Source organism: Homo sapiens, chromosome 15 (genome assembly GCF_000001405.40).
Source record: "Homo sapiens chromosome 15, GRCh38.p14 Primary Assembly".
NCBI classification, from domain to species: domain Eukaryota; kingdom Metazoa; phylum Chordata; class Mammalia; order Primates; family Hominidae; genus Homo; species Homo sapiens.
Window position 1 is genome coordinate 45505990 of NC_000015.10, and position 18432 is coordinate 45524421.

At 43.1% G+C, this 18432-nt stretch overlaps 1 protein-coding gene and 1 pseudogene across 6 annotated transcripts in view, besides 1 other annotated feature; one reads left to right on the forward strand and one right to left on the reverse strand.

The window, feature by feature from the left end:
• Nucleotides 1-16766, reverse strand: part of SLC30A4 (solute carrier family 30 member 4) — a 43150-nt gene extending 26384 nt beyond the window's left edge. For 2 of the 5 annotated variants that reach the window (NM_013309.6, NM_001321036.2), the window contains exons 1-3: nucleotides 16618-16766; nucleotides 15975-16479; nucleotides 5149-5295 (exon numbers count right to left, since the gene is read on the reverse strand). In NM_013309.6, the coding sequence (NP_037441.2) occupies nucleotides 5149-5295; nucleotides 15975-16365 (538 nt within the window). In that variant the 5' untranslated portion in view covers nucleotides 16366-16479; nucleotides 16618-16766. Of the gene's footprint in view, nucleotides 1-2868; nucleotides 3022-5148; nucleotides 5296-15974 lie in introns of those variants that run through there. The other 3 variants (XM_017022560.3, XM_047433023.1, XM_017022561.2) reach the window with 2 other exon arrangements.
• Nucleotides 5147-18432, forward strand: part of HMGN2P46 (high mobility group nucleosomal binding domain 2 pseudogene 46) — a 45595-nt pseudogene continuing 32309 nt past the window's right edge. The window contains exons 1-3 of the transcript NR_022014.1: nucleotides 5147-5216; nucleotides 7709-7974; nucleotides 9784-9903. The product of NR_022014.1 is annotated as a high mobility group nucleosomal binding domain 2 pseudogene 46 (transcript). The remainder of the gene's footprint in view (nucleotides 5217-7708; nucleotides 7975-9783; nucleotides 9904-18432) is intronic.
• Nucleotides 16469-16958: a silencer, noted in NCBI's record as "silent region_6410". NCBI's record gives its function as "represses an Ori minimal core promoter by ATAC-STARR-seq in GM12878 lymphoblastoid cells {active_cell/tissue: GM12878}" and the evidence as "EXISTENCE:reporter gene assay evidence [ECO:0000049][PMID:35858748]".

Consider the following 18432-nt stretch of genomic DNA (forward strand, 5'->3'; position numbering starts at 1 on the left):
GGAAACAGGCTGCAGAGTTTGCAACCAGCCTGGGAAACAAAGCCTCGTCTCTACAAAAAATACAAAAGTTAGCCAGGCATGGTGGTGCATGCCTGTGGTCCCAGTCCCAGTCCCAGCTACTCGAGAGGCTGAGGTGGGAGGATTGCTTGAGCCTAGGAGGTCAAGGATGCAGGGGGCTGAGATCACGCCACTGCACTCCAGCCTGGACAACGGAGTGAGACCCACTCTCAAATAAATAAATTAATAAAATAAAATTTGACTTTTGCAACATGTTTTGCATATTTACAAAATAAATCAACAGAGAAAAAACCCATCCCTGTCCCACCCCACCATGTCATCAAAACAAAACAAAATTCAACAAGAATGGTAACAAACCAAGCTTCTTGTGGGGATTCCCTCTGTGAAGTTTTCAGGACCTGAATCTCCAAGTCTGGAATTAGAGATCACAAGAGCTACCCTACTTAAGTGTGTCCAAATGTAAATATATCTCTCCCCATAGAACTTCAAGAGATTACTCTGAAGCAATGGTACTGTGGAACTCAGGGACACCAACTGCTTTGGTTTACAGCTTTATTCATCAAATTCTATGTATCTTTGAATCTTCCTCAAGCAAACTAAGTTTTTTCTTCCAAATTTCCACCATTATTTCATAGAGCAGAATAAGTGAAATAAGGTCTATATCTAGATATCCCCTCATAATATTTCAGAATACAAAACAACAAAAAAAAGAAGATCCCAAAAGTTTCAGTGTGAAGCTTGAGTACCTTCTTAGCTCAGGAAATACCTATCTATCTATATCTTTAACAATTCCCTCCCTTTCATTTTTTTAGATGACTTTTAAAAATTGACATAAAATTCATGTAACAAAATTCACCATTTTAAAGTGTACAATTCAGTGGTTTTCAGTACATGTACAAGGTTGTGCAGCCATCATCACTACTAATTCCAGAACATGTTCAACACCTCAAAAAGAAATACCATATGCATTAAGTGGTTACTTCTTTTTATTTTTTAAGTTCTATTTTTCTGAGGTTCTTAATAGTAAGGCTTGGCTGGGGGCGGTGGCTCATGCCTATAAACCCAGCACTTTGGGAGGCCGAGGCGGGTGGATCACGAGGACGGGAGATCCAGATCATCCTGGCCAACATGGTGAAATCCCGTCTCTACTAAAAATACAAAAATTAGCCATGAGTGGCGGCGGGCCCCTGTAATCCCAGCTACTCTGGAGGCTGAGGCAGGAGAATCACTTGAACCTGGGAAGTGGAGGTTGCAGTAAGCCGAGACCGCGCCATTGCACTCCAGCCTGGGTGACACAGTGAGACTCTGTCTCAAAAATAAATAAATAAATAAATAAATAAATAAATAAATAATAAATTTCAGGAATAATTTTAATTTCAAAGAGCTATTTCTTGTATTTATTTTTCCAAAACATTTTACTGTTTTATTATTCTGAGCATATTAATAAGATAATTTAAAAACTTTTCTCCTGGTTCTGTTCTTTTCTTTTTCCTTTTTTTTTTTTTTGTCTCACTCTGTTGCCCAGGCTGGAGTGCAGTGGCTTGATCTTGGCTCACTGCAACCTCCACCTCCCAAGTTCAAGTGATTCTCATGTCTCAGCCTCCCATGCAGCTGGTATTACAGGTGGGCACCACCATGCCCAGCTAGGTTTTGTATTTTTAGTAGAAACAGGGTTTCACCATGTTGGCTAGGCTGGTCTCAAACTCCTGGCTTCAAGTGATCCGCCCACCTTGGCCTCCCAAAGTGATAGGATTACAGGCATGAGCCACCATGCCCAGCTTCTCCTGGTTCTTTAAGTTACTTCTCTTTCCTTTAGGGTTAATTTTTCTATTAGTTTAGTTTTGGTCATTTTAATTCATGGTGCTGGTTTTTCCCACATGCTGGAAGATTCTTGGTTGTCTATTCATACTTAGGGCAGAAGGATAGGGAAACTATCCTTTGTAAAAAGGAAATGCTGGAAGGATAAGCCAGAAATGAATTGAAATAATATTTTTTGGTAGAGACAGGGTCTTCCTATGTTGCCCAGGCTGGTCTCGAACTTCTGGGTTCAAGGGATCCTTCTGCCTCAGCCTCCCACAATGCTAGGATTGCAGGCATAAACCACCATGTCCAGCCTAAAATGGTTATTAATATGGGGTGTAGGGCAGGGCAGAGGATAACTATATTCCTTTAGGATGAGTAGGTGGAGAATCAGGATATGAGGTGGTAGAAATCTGAATTCTGGTAAAAGTAAGACTTATTTTGGAGCATCAACTTCCACACTAATTCTTAGTTTTCCCTGAACATTTTGTTCAGTTTCTTTCTAGAAGAACTATGTGGTGTTTTACTTGGCGGAAAGTGTAGGCTGCCTGAGTAGAGGTAGGAGTAAGAAGGGAGGTAGGGGCATAGTGACCACTGGGAACGGCTTCCCACTTATTCAATTAATCTTCCGTTTTCAGCCCCAATTCTCATTTCTGCTCATCTCTGTCCCTAAGCCTTAAGATCTGTTGGGCTGGTCCAGTTCCTAGTTCAGAGTATGTTCTACACATTGCTTCTTGGCTTGTTTTCTCCTTCAACCCACTCATATGTACTTTACAACTTCCAAAAATTTCTGGAAATGTGTTTACTGGTAACCCAATCATGTAATTCTCTTTGGTGTTTTGGTACCTCTATGTTTTTATCTTAATGGACTCTCAGAGAGACAGGAATCAAATGGTGCTGTCTGGTCTACCTTCTTGGAACTTAGTACTTTTAAGGAAAGGGAAAGATTTGACTTTCTATAGAAAATTCCAGAGACACAATAGGACCGGTCAGTTCTATTGTCTCTTATTTTTACATAGTATTTATTTATGAAGAAGCAAAGTGACTATGTAGAACAAACACTAAGTACTTCTTTAATATTTAATAGAAGTTTCATTATTATGGGTTCTTAACTTATATGTGTAGCATCTTCTGTGTTCTGTTATTGCATGTTTCTGAGGGAGTGTTTCACTGCTTTCATCAGAATTCCAAAGGGTTTATAACCTAAAAGAGTTTAAGAACCACAGGACTATATAAATGTACTCTCTCAAGCAGTGTTAAAAAAATTCCCATTCCATGATGATATGTTTACATCTTAGATCTTAACTGCAGGTGTTTAAATCTCAAAAAAATTAATGTTTAAAAATAATTTTGAAGCTGTTTAAAAATCCTAAGGCAACCAGTAAACAAATGACTATATAATATGTTGAGAAGCAGTGGAGTTTCCTTTAGGAACACATTCTTTTTTTTTTTTTTTTTTGAGAGAGACAAGAGTCTTACTCTGCCGCCCAGAATGGAGTGCAGCAGCATGATCTAGGCTCACTACAACCTCCGCCTCCCGGGTTCAAGCAGTTCTTCTGCCTCAGCTTCCTGAGTAGCTGGGATTACAGGCGTGCACCACCATGCCCAGCTAATTTCTGTATTTTTAGTAGATATGGGGTTTCACCATGTTGGCTAGGCTGGTCTTGAACTCCTGATCTCAGGTGATCCGCCCACCTCGGCCTCCCAAAGTGCTGGGATTACAGACGTGAGCCACCGTGCCTGGCCAGGAACACATTCACATGCATTATGCAGTAGCTTAACAAAAGAAAAACTTCACTTGGGGCTTTAGCTCTTTTGTACAGTAGCTGAGAGTACGGAGGGGTGGGGATGCTAGATAATTTTCCAACCTGATGACCTGGATAGCTACTTGGAATATCACCATTTAGGTACAGTGTCAAGTTTTGCACCAGAAGACCCAGTCACTAAGTAAGAGGTCCTGGATGCTGTGGGCCAGTCATGGCAGCTCACACCTGTAATCCCAGCACTCTGGGAGGCCAAGGTAGGAGGATGGCTTGAGCACAGGAGTTTGACATCAGCCTGGGCAAAGGATGACCCCCTTGTAGGTAGGCCCTGTCTCTACAAAAATCACAAAAATTAGCTGAGCATGCTAGTGCACGCCTATAGTCCCAGCTACTCGGGAGGCTGAGGTGGAAGGATCACTTGAGCCTGGAAGGTGGAGGTTGTAGTGAGCTGAGATCACACCACTGCACTCCAGCCTGGGCAACAGCGCAAGAAGATCACACCACTGCACTCCAGCCTGGGCAACAGTGCAAGAAGATCACACCACTGCACTCCAGCCTGGGCAACAGAATAAGACTCTGTCTTAAAAGCAAAAACGAGAAATAAATTCAAAGAAAATGTACGTAAAGAAACAAAAAGTTTACTGCACTCCAGCCTGGGCAACAGAGCAAGACTCTGTCTTAAAAGCAAAAAACAAAAAACAAATACAAAGAAAATATAGGTAAAGAAACAAACAAAAAATCTACAGTCTAAGTTTTTTTAGGCTAAAAAATAAAAAAGATGATGAGGAATTGATTGATATATTAGCCAGGAGCATCAGTGTTCCTACAAAATGAAATTATCAGATATTAACTCTAGTTCTTTGAGGCAAGTTTTGCTGAAGCTACTTAAATGTCAACTTTTGGGTTCTACTTTTGAGTCTGACATCTGGGTAAATGTTACTTCATATAATAGTTCAGGTAATTATTTTATACATATTTTCAAAATAAGCAAAAAATTTAAAAACAGTAATACAGTAAGAAGCAGAGCTGTGTAGATAGCAATGTATGATTTTAACTCTTTATAATTAAACATTAAAATTTGTTCAAAACAGGCAAATAAAAATGTGTGCATTTGCAGAATTATGTTGATACGATGGCTGCAGTCAAGTTCAGCCACACAGCATACATTATACCTGTGATAGCTCTGCTTAAAATCTAAGCTATGGTAGCTTTGGCTGAAATACCTGAAGTAAAAGAGAGAAGCTAATGCTCATTAACGGGTTAAACCCATGTGGTTTTGCTTTGTTCAATAAACTGAAAGTAAACTTTTTTCTGATGATATCTTCAGGACATAGGGAGCAACCTTTGAAGATTAATGATCATCATATAATTTTATATGTGTAAACTGTTTAGCTGACTAGGCTAAATGTACCCTGGAAAAGATGTTTCTGAATAAATTTTGTTTATCTATTTTCATTTGCTTTGTTCAAACAAGATATCACTGGAACGAGTTCAGTTAATCAGGGTTATAGTTCATTGTGGTTTTACTATAAAATATTATAAAGCAAAAGAAACACCAACTACCTACCTAAGCGATGAAATCCAAAGGTGAATCTTTTGGTTGGTGATTTTGATGATAGCCACAAAGCAAGCAGGGTGAGTATGATGGCGCTTAGGTCAGTTAACATATGAAGTGCATCTGTCATGATTGCTAGGCTATTTGCAATGTATCCACCTTAGAGTTACAAGTAGGAGAAAAAAGGAACAAGTTAATTTTTTAAAAAAGCAAGCAATCAAACTAGAAATATGCAATATCCTACAAAACATGAACTTCTAACTAAATCTTTATCCCATTACAATTAAATCAAGGTATTCTGAAATTTCATTCAAAATATTAGATATAGGTTCATTTTTCTGGTGAGAATATCCACTTCTTTTTTTCTTTTTTTTTTGAGACAGAGTCTCACTCTGTTGCCCAGGCTGGAGTGCAGTGGTGCAATCTCAGCTCACTGCAACCTCTGCCTTCTGGGTTCAAGTGATTCTTCTGCCTCAGCCTCCCGAGTAGCTGGGACTACAGGCACGTGCCACCACGCCCGGCTAATTTTTGTATTTTTAGTAGAGACAGGGTTTCACCATGTTGGCCAGGCTGGTCTCAAACTCCTGACCTCAACTGATCCACTCGCCTCGGCCTTGCAAGTGTTGGGATTATAGGCGTAAGCCAATGTGTCCAGCCAGAATATCCATTTCTAGTAACACATGCTGCAAGGAGTCAATGACCTTTAGAAAGTTAAGAACCACAAGGCAAATATATAGTGATTTTGTGTCTTGGTACTGAAGCTTTTGCTTAACTTACTAATTCTACTATTAGTGAATTAATAACCATATCTAAATATTACAACAAAGCTGAAGAAAAGAAGGGTGTTCACTTGTTGAGGGGCGTTGGAACATAAAATTAAACTGAGAAAACCTACAAAATGTACATTAGTTCGATATAAAATATGTAAAAATTAACTGATTCACTTAGCAACATCTCTGAAGAGGGGTACAAAAGGTAGTATTTAGGATACAATTTTTGTTATCGATTTTCCAGGCATTTAATATATATATTATACATTGTTTCATTGTGTGTCTGTATTGTCCCATAATGGACAACCAATTTTCCTAGCACTATTCACTGAATAAGCTTTTATGTGTATCAGAATCACCTGGAGGGCTTGTTAAACTACAAACTGCTTAACTCTACTCCCAGAATTTCTGATTCGGTAGGTCTGGGATGGTGATGGGGATGGGACCTGAGAATGTATATTGCTAACATGCTCCCAGGTAATGCTGATGCTTCAAGTCTTGGAACCACACTTCGAGAATCACTGTTATAATGTACAGCAGAACTGCATGATCAGGTAAGTGTGCTGAGCTGTTGATCCTCCTCATTCCTGAGCTGGGTGTGTAGAGACAAGAGCAGGAGACTAGGGGCTGATGATCTTTTAGTCACATCCATTTACCCCAGAGTGCTCTATACAAATAGCATTTTTATGTATTCCCCGGCATGAAAAAGCTGGAAAGCACCAAGAGAAGGTTGGTGTTAAACAACATGAAGTTTTGGAATCTCAGAAAGTCTGAATGAGTTAATTTTTTTGAGCTTTAGCATACTTATCATTTTATAATGAGGATAATTCCTTAAAGCAATTCTGTCCAATAGAACTTTGAGATGATAGAAATGTTCTGTATCTGAGCTGTCCAATGGTGTAGCCACTAGTCACATGTGGCTTTTCAGCATTTAAAAAATGGCTAGTAAGGTTGGGGCACAGTGGCTTATGCCTGTAATACCAGCTGTTTGGGAGGCCGAGGTGGGAGAACTGCTTGAGTGTAAGAGTCTGAGGCTGCAGTAAGCTTTATATAATGGCACCAGTTCACTCCAACTTGGGTGACAAGAGTGAGACATTGACTAAAAAAAAAAAAGAAAAATGGGGCCAGGTGCAGTGGCTCACGCCTGTAATCCCAACACTTTGGGAGGCTGAGGCAGGCGGATCACCTGAGCTCAGGAGTTTGAGACCAGACTGGGCAACATGGTGAAACCCCATCTCTACCAAAAAATAAATAAGAAAGAAAAAGAAAAATGGTTAGTGAAACTAAGGAATTTAATTAATTAAACTTTTTTTTTTTTTTTTTTTAGAGAGTCAGGGTCTTGCTCTGCCACCCAGGCAGGAATGCAGTGATGTGATCATAACTCACTGCAGCCTCAACCTCCTGTGTTCATGTAATCCTCCCATCTCAGCCTCCTGAGTAGCTGGGACTACAGGCATGTACCACCATGCTCAGCTAATCTTTTTATCTTTTTTTTTTTTTCAGGAGATGAGGTCTTGCTATGTTGCCTAGGCTTAATTATTTACTTTTAATTAACCTAAACTTAAAAAGCTACATGTTGGTGACATCAGCCAAAAAAAAAAAGTAAGGACCTCTGAAAATCATCTTCACAAAAAGAATGAAAACATGGACAAAAATAGTCAAAATCAGCTTTTTCAGAACTTTGGAAATTAGCCAAAAGCTTATACACATAGCACTTATTCAAGAAAAATAGCTGAATATCAGCAAGAACAGTTATCTTCATGGTGTTTTAATTTGCGCTGTACCCATTTGTTGTCCTCCAGCTGTATGGTAGCCTTGAAAACCAACAGGCCACAATCACAGTGAAAACCTCAGGTTGGCAGCCACTGGAGGATACAAAATGAGTTTGGATCTCCTTCAATGCCCCATTCCCAGAGAACTGTCATTATTTGACCTGCTGGTAGTTCCCTAAAGGACGTGCAAGGATGTTTTTATTTGACTGGACACTTGAAGCTTGCCCTGTATGAACAGCCCCCATCTTCCCATGCTTGTCAAAAATCAGAGGCAACTAACACTGCGGCTTCCTGAGGTAGGCAATGATGTGTTCTCTGTGTTCAGAAAATTTCACAATGTCTACCCTGGAATGGATCTCTTTTCCCCCAATTTGCTCTTTCAATCTAGAAATGTGTGGCCAGGCACAGTGGCTCACACCTGTAATCCCAGCATTTTGGGAGGCTGAGGCGGGCAGATCACCTGAGGTCGGGAGTTCGAGACCAGCCTGACCAATATGGAAAAACCCTGTCTCTACTAAAAATACAAAATTAGTTGGGCATGGTGGCACATGCCTGTAATCCCAGCTACTCGGGTGCTGAGGTAGAAGAATTACTTGAACCCAGGAGGCGGAGGTTACGGGGAGGTGGAGGTTGTGGTGAGCTGAGATTGCGCCATTGTACTCCAGCCTGGGCAACAAGAGTGGAACTCTGTCTCAAAAAAAAAAAAAAAAAATTATAGAAATGTGTATCCTCCAGCTATGGGAAAACTTCCTAAACCATAAACTATAGTGTTGATGATTTCGTAGCCTTTGCTTTCTTTCTCAAACTCCTTCCTGTTATTTGGAGTTTAGATTGATATTCCAATTTTTTTTTTTTTTTTTTTTTTGAGACAGAGTCTCACTCTGTCACCCAGGTTGGAGTACAGTGGTGCAATCTCAGCTCACTGCAACCTCCGCCTTCTGGGTTCAAGCAATTCTCCTGCCTCAGCCTCCCGAGTAGCTGGGATTGCAGGCATGCGCCACCACGCCCGGCTAATTTTTATATTTTTAGTAGAGATGGTGTATCATCATGTTGGCCAGGCTGGTCTCGAACCCCTAACCTCAGGTGATCTGCCCGCCTTGGCGTCCCAAAGTGCTAGGATTACAGGCATGAGCCACCGTGCCTGGCCTCTAAATTGTTTTTGCCCTTTCTCTCCAATTATACATCTTTTTGCTCAACTCTGTGAGAGAGTACCTTAATTCATCTTTTTTTGAGGTAGGGTCTTGCTCTGTTGTCCAGGCTGCAGTGCAGTGGCACAACTGTGGCTCACTGTGGCCTGGACCTCCTGGTCTTAAGCAATCCTTCCACCTCAGCCTCCTTTGTAGCTGGGACTACAGGCATGTGCCACCACACCTTGCTAATTTTTTTTTTTTTAATTTTTATTAGAGACAAGGTGTCACTATGTTGTCCAGGCTGGTCTTGAATTCTTGGACTCAGGCAATCCTCCTGCCTTAGCCTCCTAAGTTGCTGGGACTACAGGAGCATGACACCGTGCTTGGCTTTTTTTTTTTCTTCAATTTTTAGTGAAGATAAGCTCTCACTATACTGCCCAGGCTGATCTTGAATTCCTGGGCTCATGTGATCTTCCCACCTCAGCCTCCCAAAGTGCTGTGATTTCAGGCATGAGCCACTGCACCCAGCCCTTAATTTATCTTCTAACTTTTCTATGGAGTTTAAAAGAAATTTCGGCCGGGCGTGGTGGCTCACACCTGTAATCCCAGCACTTTGGGAGGCCGAGGCGGGTGGATCACGAGGTCAGGAGATGGAGACCATCCTGGTTAACACGGTGAAAGCCCGTCTCTACCAAAAATACAAAAAAATAGCAGGCGTAGTGGTGGGTGCCTGTAGTCCCAGCTACTTGGGAGACTGAGGCAGGAAAATGGCATGAACCTGGGAGGTGGAGCTTGCAGTGAGCCGAGATGGCGCCACTGCACTCCAGCCTGGGCGACAGTGCAAGACTCCATCTCAAAAATAAATAAATAAATAAATAAATAATAAATAATAGAAATTTCAACTATGTTTTTATTGTGCAGAAGCTTTTTTCGTTACCCTGAATTTCTTTTCTTTTTTTTTTTTCTTTGAGATAGAGTCTCACTCTGTCACCCAGGCTGGAGAGCAATTGCACAAACACTTGGCTCACTGCAGCCTCAACTTCTTGTCCTCAAGTGATCCTCCCACCTTAGCCTCCTAAGTAGCTGGGACCACAGGTAAGCACCACCATGCCCTACTATTTTTCTTTCTTTGTTTCTTTTTTTTGTAGAGACAGGGTCTTGCCACCTTGACCAGGCTGGTCTTGAACTTCTGAGCTGAAGTGTTTGTTCCTCCTGCCTCAGCCTCCCAAAGTGCTAGGACTACAGGCATGAGCTACTGCGCCCACCCTGAATTTCTATTTTAAAGTAGTCTGTTCTTGCTTCATGGATACGTGATCTTTTATCTCTGAGTATACTAATTATACAATTTTACTATTATATCTGACTGGCTTTTAAATAGGTTTAACTAGCTTTCCTTATTTTAGCTGCCTTCTTCACCCACACTTCCAGAGGTACCTGGTACAACCAATCTGGAGCTTACTTAGGATTTTCTAGTGCAGTAGTTCTAAAATATGGTCCCTGGATCAGTAGTGTTAGCATCCCCTGGGATTTTGTGTTTTAACAAGTTCTCTATATGATTCTGATGCACACTAAAGCTTCAGAATCACTGCTGTAGTATAAACTGTGATGGTTCTCAGCCTTCCCCACTGCTGGCTTAGGTGTTTGCTTTCTTGGGTCTACTAAGTCAGTTAGTTCTTTATCTGTTTCCTTTCCAGTTTCCAAAATTTTTGTTGCTATCTTTTCCTCTCCAGTTTTCCTCATATGTGTGAATTTATATCTTTTTTTAAAAAAATCTCTTTATTGTATAAGAGGCCAGGTATGGTGGCTCACGCCTGTAATCCCAGCACTTTGGGAGGCCGAGGTGGGCGGATCACTTGAGGTCACGAGTTCAAGACCAGCCTGGCCAACATGTTGAAACTCCGTCTCTACTAAAAATACTAAAAAGTAGCTGGGCGTGATGGTGTGCACCTGTAGTCCCAGCTACTTGGGAGGCTGAGGCAGGAGAATCACTTGAATCCGGGAGGTGGAGGCTGCTACTCAGGAGGCTGAGGCAGGAGAATCACTTGAACCCAGGAGGCAGAGGCTGCAGTGAGCTGAGATGGTGCACTCCAGCCTGGGTGACAGAGCGAGACTCCATTAAAAAAAATCTGTTTATCGTATAAGAGAGGCATCAGGAACAAGCAAAATTAGATGCATGAGTTCAATTTGCCATCTTTACCTAGAAGTTTATATACACTCTCAATTAAGCATTTTCATTTTCAATAAAAATGCAGTTGTAACTCTGTTACCAAATCCAAAGGATGTTTTAGTTCTCATCTAATTAGACCTCTCAACAGTTTCAACCTATTTATTTCCACTTTGAAATACTCTCTTTTTTAAAAAAAAAAAATTTGGAACACCTTTTTCCCTCTGCCTGACTTCTAAAGTTGGAGTTCCTAGAGACTTGGGCTCTCTAGGTAATTTTACCTATTCCTACGGCATTATATACACTCATCTCTCTCTACCTTGACCTCTCTTCTAACCACAGACTCATATTCTTGCTTCCAAGAATATACCCTCCAATCCATTCTTTTTTTTTTTTTTTTTTTTTTTTTGAGATGGAGTTTTGCTCTTGTTGCCCAGGCTGGAGTGCAACAGCGTGATCTCGGCTCACCACAACCTCCGCCTCCTAGGTTCAAGTGATTCTTTTGCCTCGGCCTCCCGAGTAGCTGGGATTACAGGCACGTGCCACCATGCCTGGCTAATTTTGTATTTTCAGTAGAGACGGGGTTTCGCCATATTGGTCAGGCTGGTCTCGAACTCCCGATCCATTCTTCACATAACAGCAGAGTAATCTTTCAAAAAGGTAAATCCCATCTTGTTACTCTCCTGCTTAAAACCTTATCTGGTTGGCCAGGCGCGGTGGCTCACGCCTGTAATCCCAGCACTTTGGGAGGCCGAGGCGGACAGATCACGAGGTCAGGAGATTGAGACCATCCTGGCTAACACGGTGAAACCCCGTCTCTACTAAAAATACAAAATATTAGCTAGGCGCGGTGGGGGGCGCCTGTAGTCCCAGCTACTCAGGAGGCTGAGGCAGGAGAATGGCACGAACCCGGGAGGCAGAGCTTGCAGTGAGCCGAGATCACACCACTGCACTCCAGGCTGGGCGAAAGAGCGAGACTCCGTCTCAAAATAAAAACAAAAACAAAAACAAAAAAAACCCTTATCTGGCTTTCCATTGCACTTAAAATAAAAACTACACTCATCTAACATGGCCTACCAGGGCCTGCCTGATCTCTTCCTCCTGCCTCTTTCCCTCATGGTTACACATTGAAGCCAAACTGGCCTTCTTTCTAATTCCTTTCGAAGAATTGAAGGCTTTAGGACCTTGGTACATGCTGTTCTCTTCTCTTGGAAAACTCCCTCACTCTGTTTGGGTAACTCCTACTATTCTTTTTTTTTTGGCTTAAATGTACCTGGTCCATGCATAAACTATGTCCTACTGGTTACTATGTCTTATAGTACCTTGTTCTTTTTCTTCCTAGTACTTAGGACCATCTAAATTTTAAATTTACTTACGTGTTTAATGATTGTCTCTTCCATTAAATTCTCCACATAGTAGGGATCATAATAGTTTCGTTCTCCATTGTACATTCAGAACATGTAGCACAGTGCCTGGCACATAGTGTAAGTACTCAAAATACACTTCCAAAGAGAAGAGAAAAGAATGGACCTTTACGAAGGTCTCAGAGCAAGGTAAGTGGTAAAGCCAACCAAGTCTATCTCAGCTCATTTAGTTACTTCATTTTTTTTCCCTTCTTTTTGAGAGAGTCTCACTCTGTCACCTGGGGTGGAGTACAGCAGCCGGATCTCAGCTCACTGCAACCTCCACCCCCTGGGCTCAACCGATCCTGCCACTTCAGCCTCCAGAGGAGCTAGGACCACAGACACGCACTACCAAGTCAGGCTAAGTTTTTGGTTTTTTTTGGTAGAGAGGGGGTTTCATCATGTTGCCAGGCTGGTCTTGAACTCCTGAGCTCAAGCGATCCTCAGGCTCCCAACGTGCTGGGATTATAGGCATGAGCCACTGCACCCAGCCAAATTGCTTCATTTTTTATTACTCCATACTTCCTACATAAGATACTTCCTACACCTGGCCAAATTGCTTCATTTTTTAAAAATATATTTTATTTAATGTAGTCTCACTCTGTTGCCCTGGCTGGAGTGCAGTGGCATGATCTCAGCTCACTGCAACCTCTGCCTCCTGGGTTAAAGCGATTTCTGGCTAATTTTTGTATTTTTAGTAGAGATGGGGTTTCACCATGTTGGCCAGGCTGCTCTCAAACTCCTGACCTCAAGTGATCCACCCGCCTTGGCCTCCCAGAAGTGCTAGGATTACAGGTGTGAGCCACCGTGCCTGGCCAAATTGCTTCATTTTTTATTTCTCCATACTTCCTACATAAGATGCTTTATTTCTCTTTCTTTCTTTCTTTTTTTGAGACAGAGTCCCACTCTGTCACCCAGGCTGGAGTGCAGTGGTGCAATCTTGGCTCACTGCAACCTCCACCTCCCAGGTTCAAGCGATTCTCGTGTCTCAGCCTCCCCAGTAGCTGGGACTACAGGTGCGCCATGACGCCTGGCTAATTTTTTTGTATTTTCAGTAGAGACGGGGTTTCACCATGTTGGCCAGTCTGCTTTCCTCCTAACCTCAAGTGAGCCGCCTGCCTCGAAGATGCTTTATTTATAAGCGCTTTGGACACACTTTAATAAATGCTCTATTGTATACAGTTGAACTCTATATAACATTTTGAATAATATTGTTAATGCTTACCCTAAGTACTACTATCATCTCTGTATTGTTTAACAAAATATTTCCACATTTGACAATAAAGTCAGTATTTGAAAGGAAATACTTATTGTGGCTTTCATAAAACAACATTTACCAAATAACAGATTTCAGAAGTGAGAAGTCAAGACAATTATATCTTAATGATTTTTACTTAGGTGAAATAAACTCTGAATTATTAATCATTTTAAGGGGGGATGCTGTGATTGTTATTTTAACTTCAAATATTCAACGTTAACTTCAAAAATCATTAAACCTGAATGACTCAATATTCTAGTTGTGTTAGTTTGGGCAAGTCACCGAATCTCAGTCTGCTGAGACCATGGTGCTTTATCTGGGGCACAGGTTGTCTCCTGTCTTTTAATTTCTTTACAGCTCAAGCATTTATAATTATCTAACAGAATAAAAATGAATTAATTCAACAAGTTTATTGAGTATCTACTTTGTGCCAGTCACTGTTCTAGGTGCTAGGAATTCAGCCTGTATTTCAGTGGAAACAGGTAATATTAAATGAGTAAATAAATAAGATATCTCAGATGCTGAGGACTTTGAAAGTTGGAGAGGGAACAGGGAACAAAAGAGATTTACTTTAGTCAGTCAGAAAAGGTCTCTCAAAAGTGTGGGTTTTTTTAATTTTTATTACTTATTTATTTATTTATTATTTTATTTACTTATTTTTTTTTGAGACGGATTCTCACCCTGTTGCCCAGGCTGGAGTGCAGTGGCGCAATCTCGGCTCACCACAACTTCCGCCTCCCGGGTTCAAGCGATTCTCCTGCTTTAGCCTCCCAAGTAGCTGGGATTACAGGCGCCCACCACAACGTCCGGCTAATTTTTGTATTTTGTTTTTAGTAGAGACAAGGTTTCACCATGTTGGCCAGGGTGGTCTCAAACTCCTGACCTCAGGTGATCCACCCACCTCGGCCTCCCAAAGTGCTGGGATTAAAGGCGTGAGCCACTGCACCCGGCCGGGGTGTCTTTTTAAATAAGACACGAATGACAAGAAACTGGCCAAGAAAAGATTTGGGAAAGGCAGTCTATGTAAAGCAGTGTTTTTCAAGCTAAGGCCCTGACCTACTGCAGTGGACACACGAAATCCATTTAGTGAGCTGGGACCACAATTGAAGAAACTATTAGGATACATCACATGAAGGAAAACTTTTGTTTCAGTTATACATATATTTATACACATGTGACCTGTGTATATTCTCATACATATGTATGCATGCATGCCTAAATGAGTCACAATGTGAAGTGTATTTCTTACTACAGTGAGGTCAAAAAATGTTTGAAAGCCACTGAGATAGAAGGACCAGCCACTTTGAACGCCTTAGAGGCAAAAAGAGCTTTGTGAGTTGTAAGAGGAAAAAGAAGACCAGCATGGCTGAAGCGAGCCCTGGGGAGGAGTGTTATGAAAGAAGGTAGGAAATGTATATAATTTTTCCCACATAGAACCCTCCAGTCAAACATCTTAAATCTGGACTGCCACCTGTTTTTGTCATGGTTCATCATTTAAGAGATGACATGTAAGAATCATCTCCCTGCTTTTATGTCACTTTGTAAACTGTCACTGAGAAGTTAGTAGTTATACTGACGTGATTGAAAATAACCTCTAAACTAAGAATGTATCTTATATTGAGAACGGATTGTTCGTATAATTAAAAAATGAACAAGAAAACCAGGCTCATAGAACTTTGGCGGAGTCCTCTGGTTCATTTCAGGCCCTTCTTACGAGGCAAAAATTTCATGTTAGTTGGTAATTAATTTTGCAAATCTCTTGGCTATAAATACAAAAGGAAATCGTATAAAAGAAACCACTTAGGTCAAATGTAGAGGAAAAAAATGCTGGGACTGTAGATGTGGCTCTTCCATTAACTCCCTAAGTGGCCCTCACGACTTATTCCACTGGTTTGTGCCCTGGAAATCCTTACATGTAAAAAAAAAAAGGAGGTGGAGCAGGTGTTCAGTAAGGTCCCTTCATACTGTAAAATTCTATGATCTTAAGTTATTTACGATCATTTACTATTTTAAACGTTGCGAAAATTAACCTGGTATTTTACCAGACCTTTGTAAAAAGAGGAAGTTACATGACATACAATGAAGATAACGTCCTTAACTTTACGGTAGATGACAGTGGTTGAACAACTAGAAGAGAAAGTCAAAGTTATCTCGGGGAGTTTATATTGTACTTAGATTGAGCTGCACTTTGGAACCGTGTGGCCTTTTCACATGAGATCAGTGTCTTGATAAATACAAACTTCCTGAAAAGATGGGTTAAACCTCAAAGCCTGTGTAACTACAGCTTGACAAAGACTCTCGAGGAAAGGTAAACGGAAAGTGAGTTGGCAACACAACTCACCTACAAGTTCTCCAATCATGAAAAGCAAGTACAGAACGGCAGCAATGGTCAACCTGGCTTTCACCTTTCTCTGCTTCAGTATCTCTCTCTGTTTGCTGCAGTTGTCACAGGAGTCCACCTTCAAACTCAGCTGACTGTTGGTCAAAGGTAAGTCTTGGTCCAGTAAGGAATCATCGTCGGCCTGGAGGGTCGGGTGCGCCCCGTTAACAGGCCTTTCCGGGGCTTCGGAACCGTCATCGGCCACCACAACTCGAAGTTTGTTGAACCGAGAAAGCCCCTCGTCCCCCGCCTCATCCGAGAAGTCAAAGGCGCTGGTGTCATTTAAAAACAGCGGCGCATCATCCTTCCTTAGCATAGATTTGAGGCGCTTCCACGCGCCAGAGCCGGCCATGGCAGAGGCTGAGCGGCCGCGGTGCGGAACGGCTTGGGGGAGGCGGACGGCCGGCGGCGCCTACTTCACCGGAGCGCCAGTTCTCGAGGGCAGTGCCGCGCGTCCCTCCCCATCCTGTGGAAAACGAAACACGTTATAAATTAAAGGCGCCCAACCCTGTCCTCAAGTTCCGAAGCCGCTGGCGGCGGGTCGCAGGGCCGACCCCGACGCTCCGCCGGGGCTCCGCGAGGGGGCGGCACATCTATTTAATACCTGGGGCGCTGCCGCGGGGCCGCAACTCATCTCCCCGCCCCCGGCCGGCTCAGCGAGGCGGGCTCGCGCTGCTCCACCCGCGGCCGCAGGAGAGTGGGGTCGTGCTCGCGCCCGCCGCGCCCGCTGCTGGAGGCCGGCTCCCCAGGTCTGACAGGTTCGGGGCCGGACGCCCACAGCCACCGCCTCTCCCCGCCCTGCGCGAGGCCACGCGCGTGCGCCGGGCGAGGCGCGCGAGGGAGGGGTCGGCGCGAGGACACGCAGGCCTGGCGCGCAGGGCTGGGGCGCCCGCGATGGGCGGGGGCGCGCGGCGCGCCCCGCCTCTCGCCCCGAGGCTGGATTGGGGGCCACTGCGCCGCCTCCGCCCAGGGGTCACTCACTGGCCAACTGAGGGGACTTTGGGCGGCCTCTTCCACCTTCCCAGGCTGGGAGGCAAGTGCGGTCGGAGGGTCACGCCGGGGGCTGGGCGTTGCTGCTAGGAGTTCCCTCCACCGAAAGTGTGTCTCAGGAATCTCGGGTCGGGATCTGGGTTGCGGGTGCTCGGCAGAAGACAAACCCAGCACTTTTCTTGCTAACTGAAAAGGCAAGCAGCTTTTCTCTCCTCGAATTGCTTGTCTCTGGCAAATTGGCAACATTTGCTGCAGTCAACTGGAGAGGGCAAGGCTGTCGTCGTCAGCAGTTCTGTGTCCTACTGTTTTTCAGCAAATATGTATTGTCCTCTTTGTGCTCTCTGCCGTGTTCCTTTTGCCTCCAAGGTATTTACGATATGGACTAAACTCAAGCATAGAAAATCTAGTACAGGCATACCTTGGAGATACTGCGAATTTGGTTCCAGACCACCGCAATATGACAAAGTGAGGTCTCACAAATGTTTCATGTCCCAGTGCAAATACAATCATGTTTATAATGTAGTCTATTAAGCGTGTAATAGCGTTATGTCTAAAACAATGTGCATACCTTAATTTAAAATATTGGGAGAGAGGAAGGAAAAAGTATATATACATTTGTTAATTGCTCTGAGGAAGGAGGGTCGCATGAGCCCAGAGGTTCGAGATTACAGTGAGCTATGATTGTGCCTCCGCACCCCTGCCTGGCGACAGAGTGAGACCTTGTCTCTAAAAATAAACAAGTAAATAAAATACATGACTGCTAAAAAAATGCTATCAGCTGGGCGTGGTGGCTCACGCCTGTAATACCGGCCCTTTGGGAAGCCGAGGCGGGCGGATCACCTGAGATGGGGAGTTCAAGACCAGCCTGACCAAAATGGAGAAACCCTGTCTCTACTAAAAATACAAAATTAGCTGGGCATGGTGGCGCATGCCTGTAATCCCAGCTACTAGGGAGGCTGAGGCAGGAGAATCGCTTGAACCCGGGTGGCGAAGGTTGTGGTGAGCCGAGATCACGCCATTACACTCCAGCCTGGGCAAGAAGAGCAAAACTCGGTCTCAAAAAAAAAAAAAGCTATCAATCATCTAGGCCTTTAGCAAGTCATATTCTTTGCTAGTTGGAGGGTCTTTGCTCCTTGTTAATGGCTGCTGACTGATCTGGATGGTGGCTGCTGAAGGTTGGGGTGGCTGTGGCAATTCCTTAAAATAAGACAACAATGACATTTGCTATATTGATTGACTTGTTTTCATGAAAGAGTTCTTGATGGCGTGTGATGCTGGTTGATAATATTTTACCCACAGTGGACCTTTCAAAATTGGAGTCAATCCAGTTTTCTCAAACCCTGCCTCTGCTTTATCAACTAAGTTTATGGAATATTCAAATCCTTTGTTGCCATTTCAACAGTGTTCACAGCATCTTCACAAGGAGTAG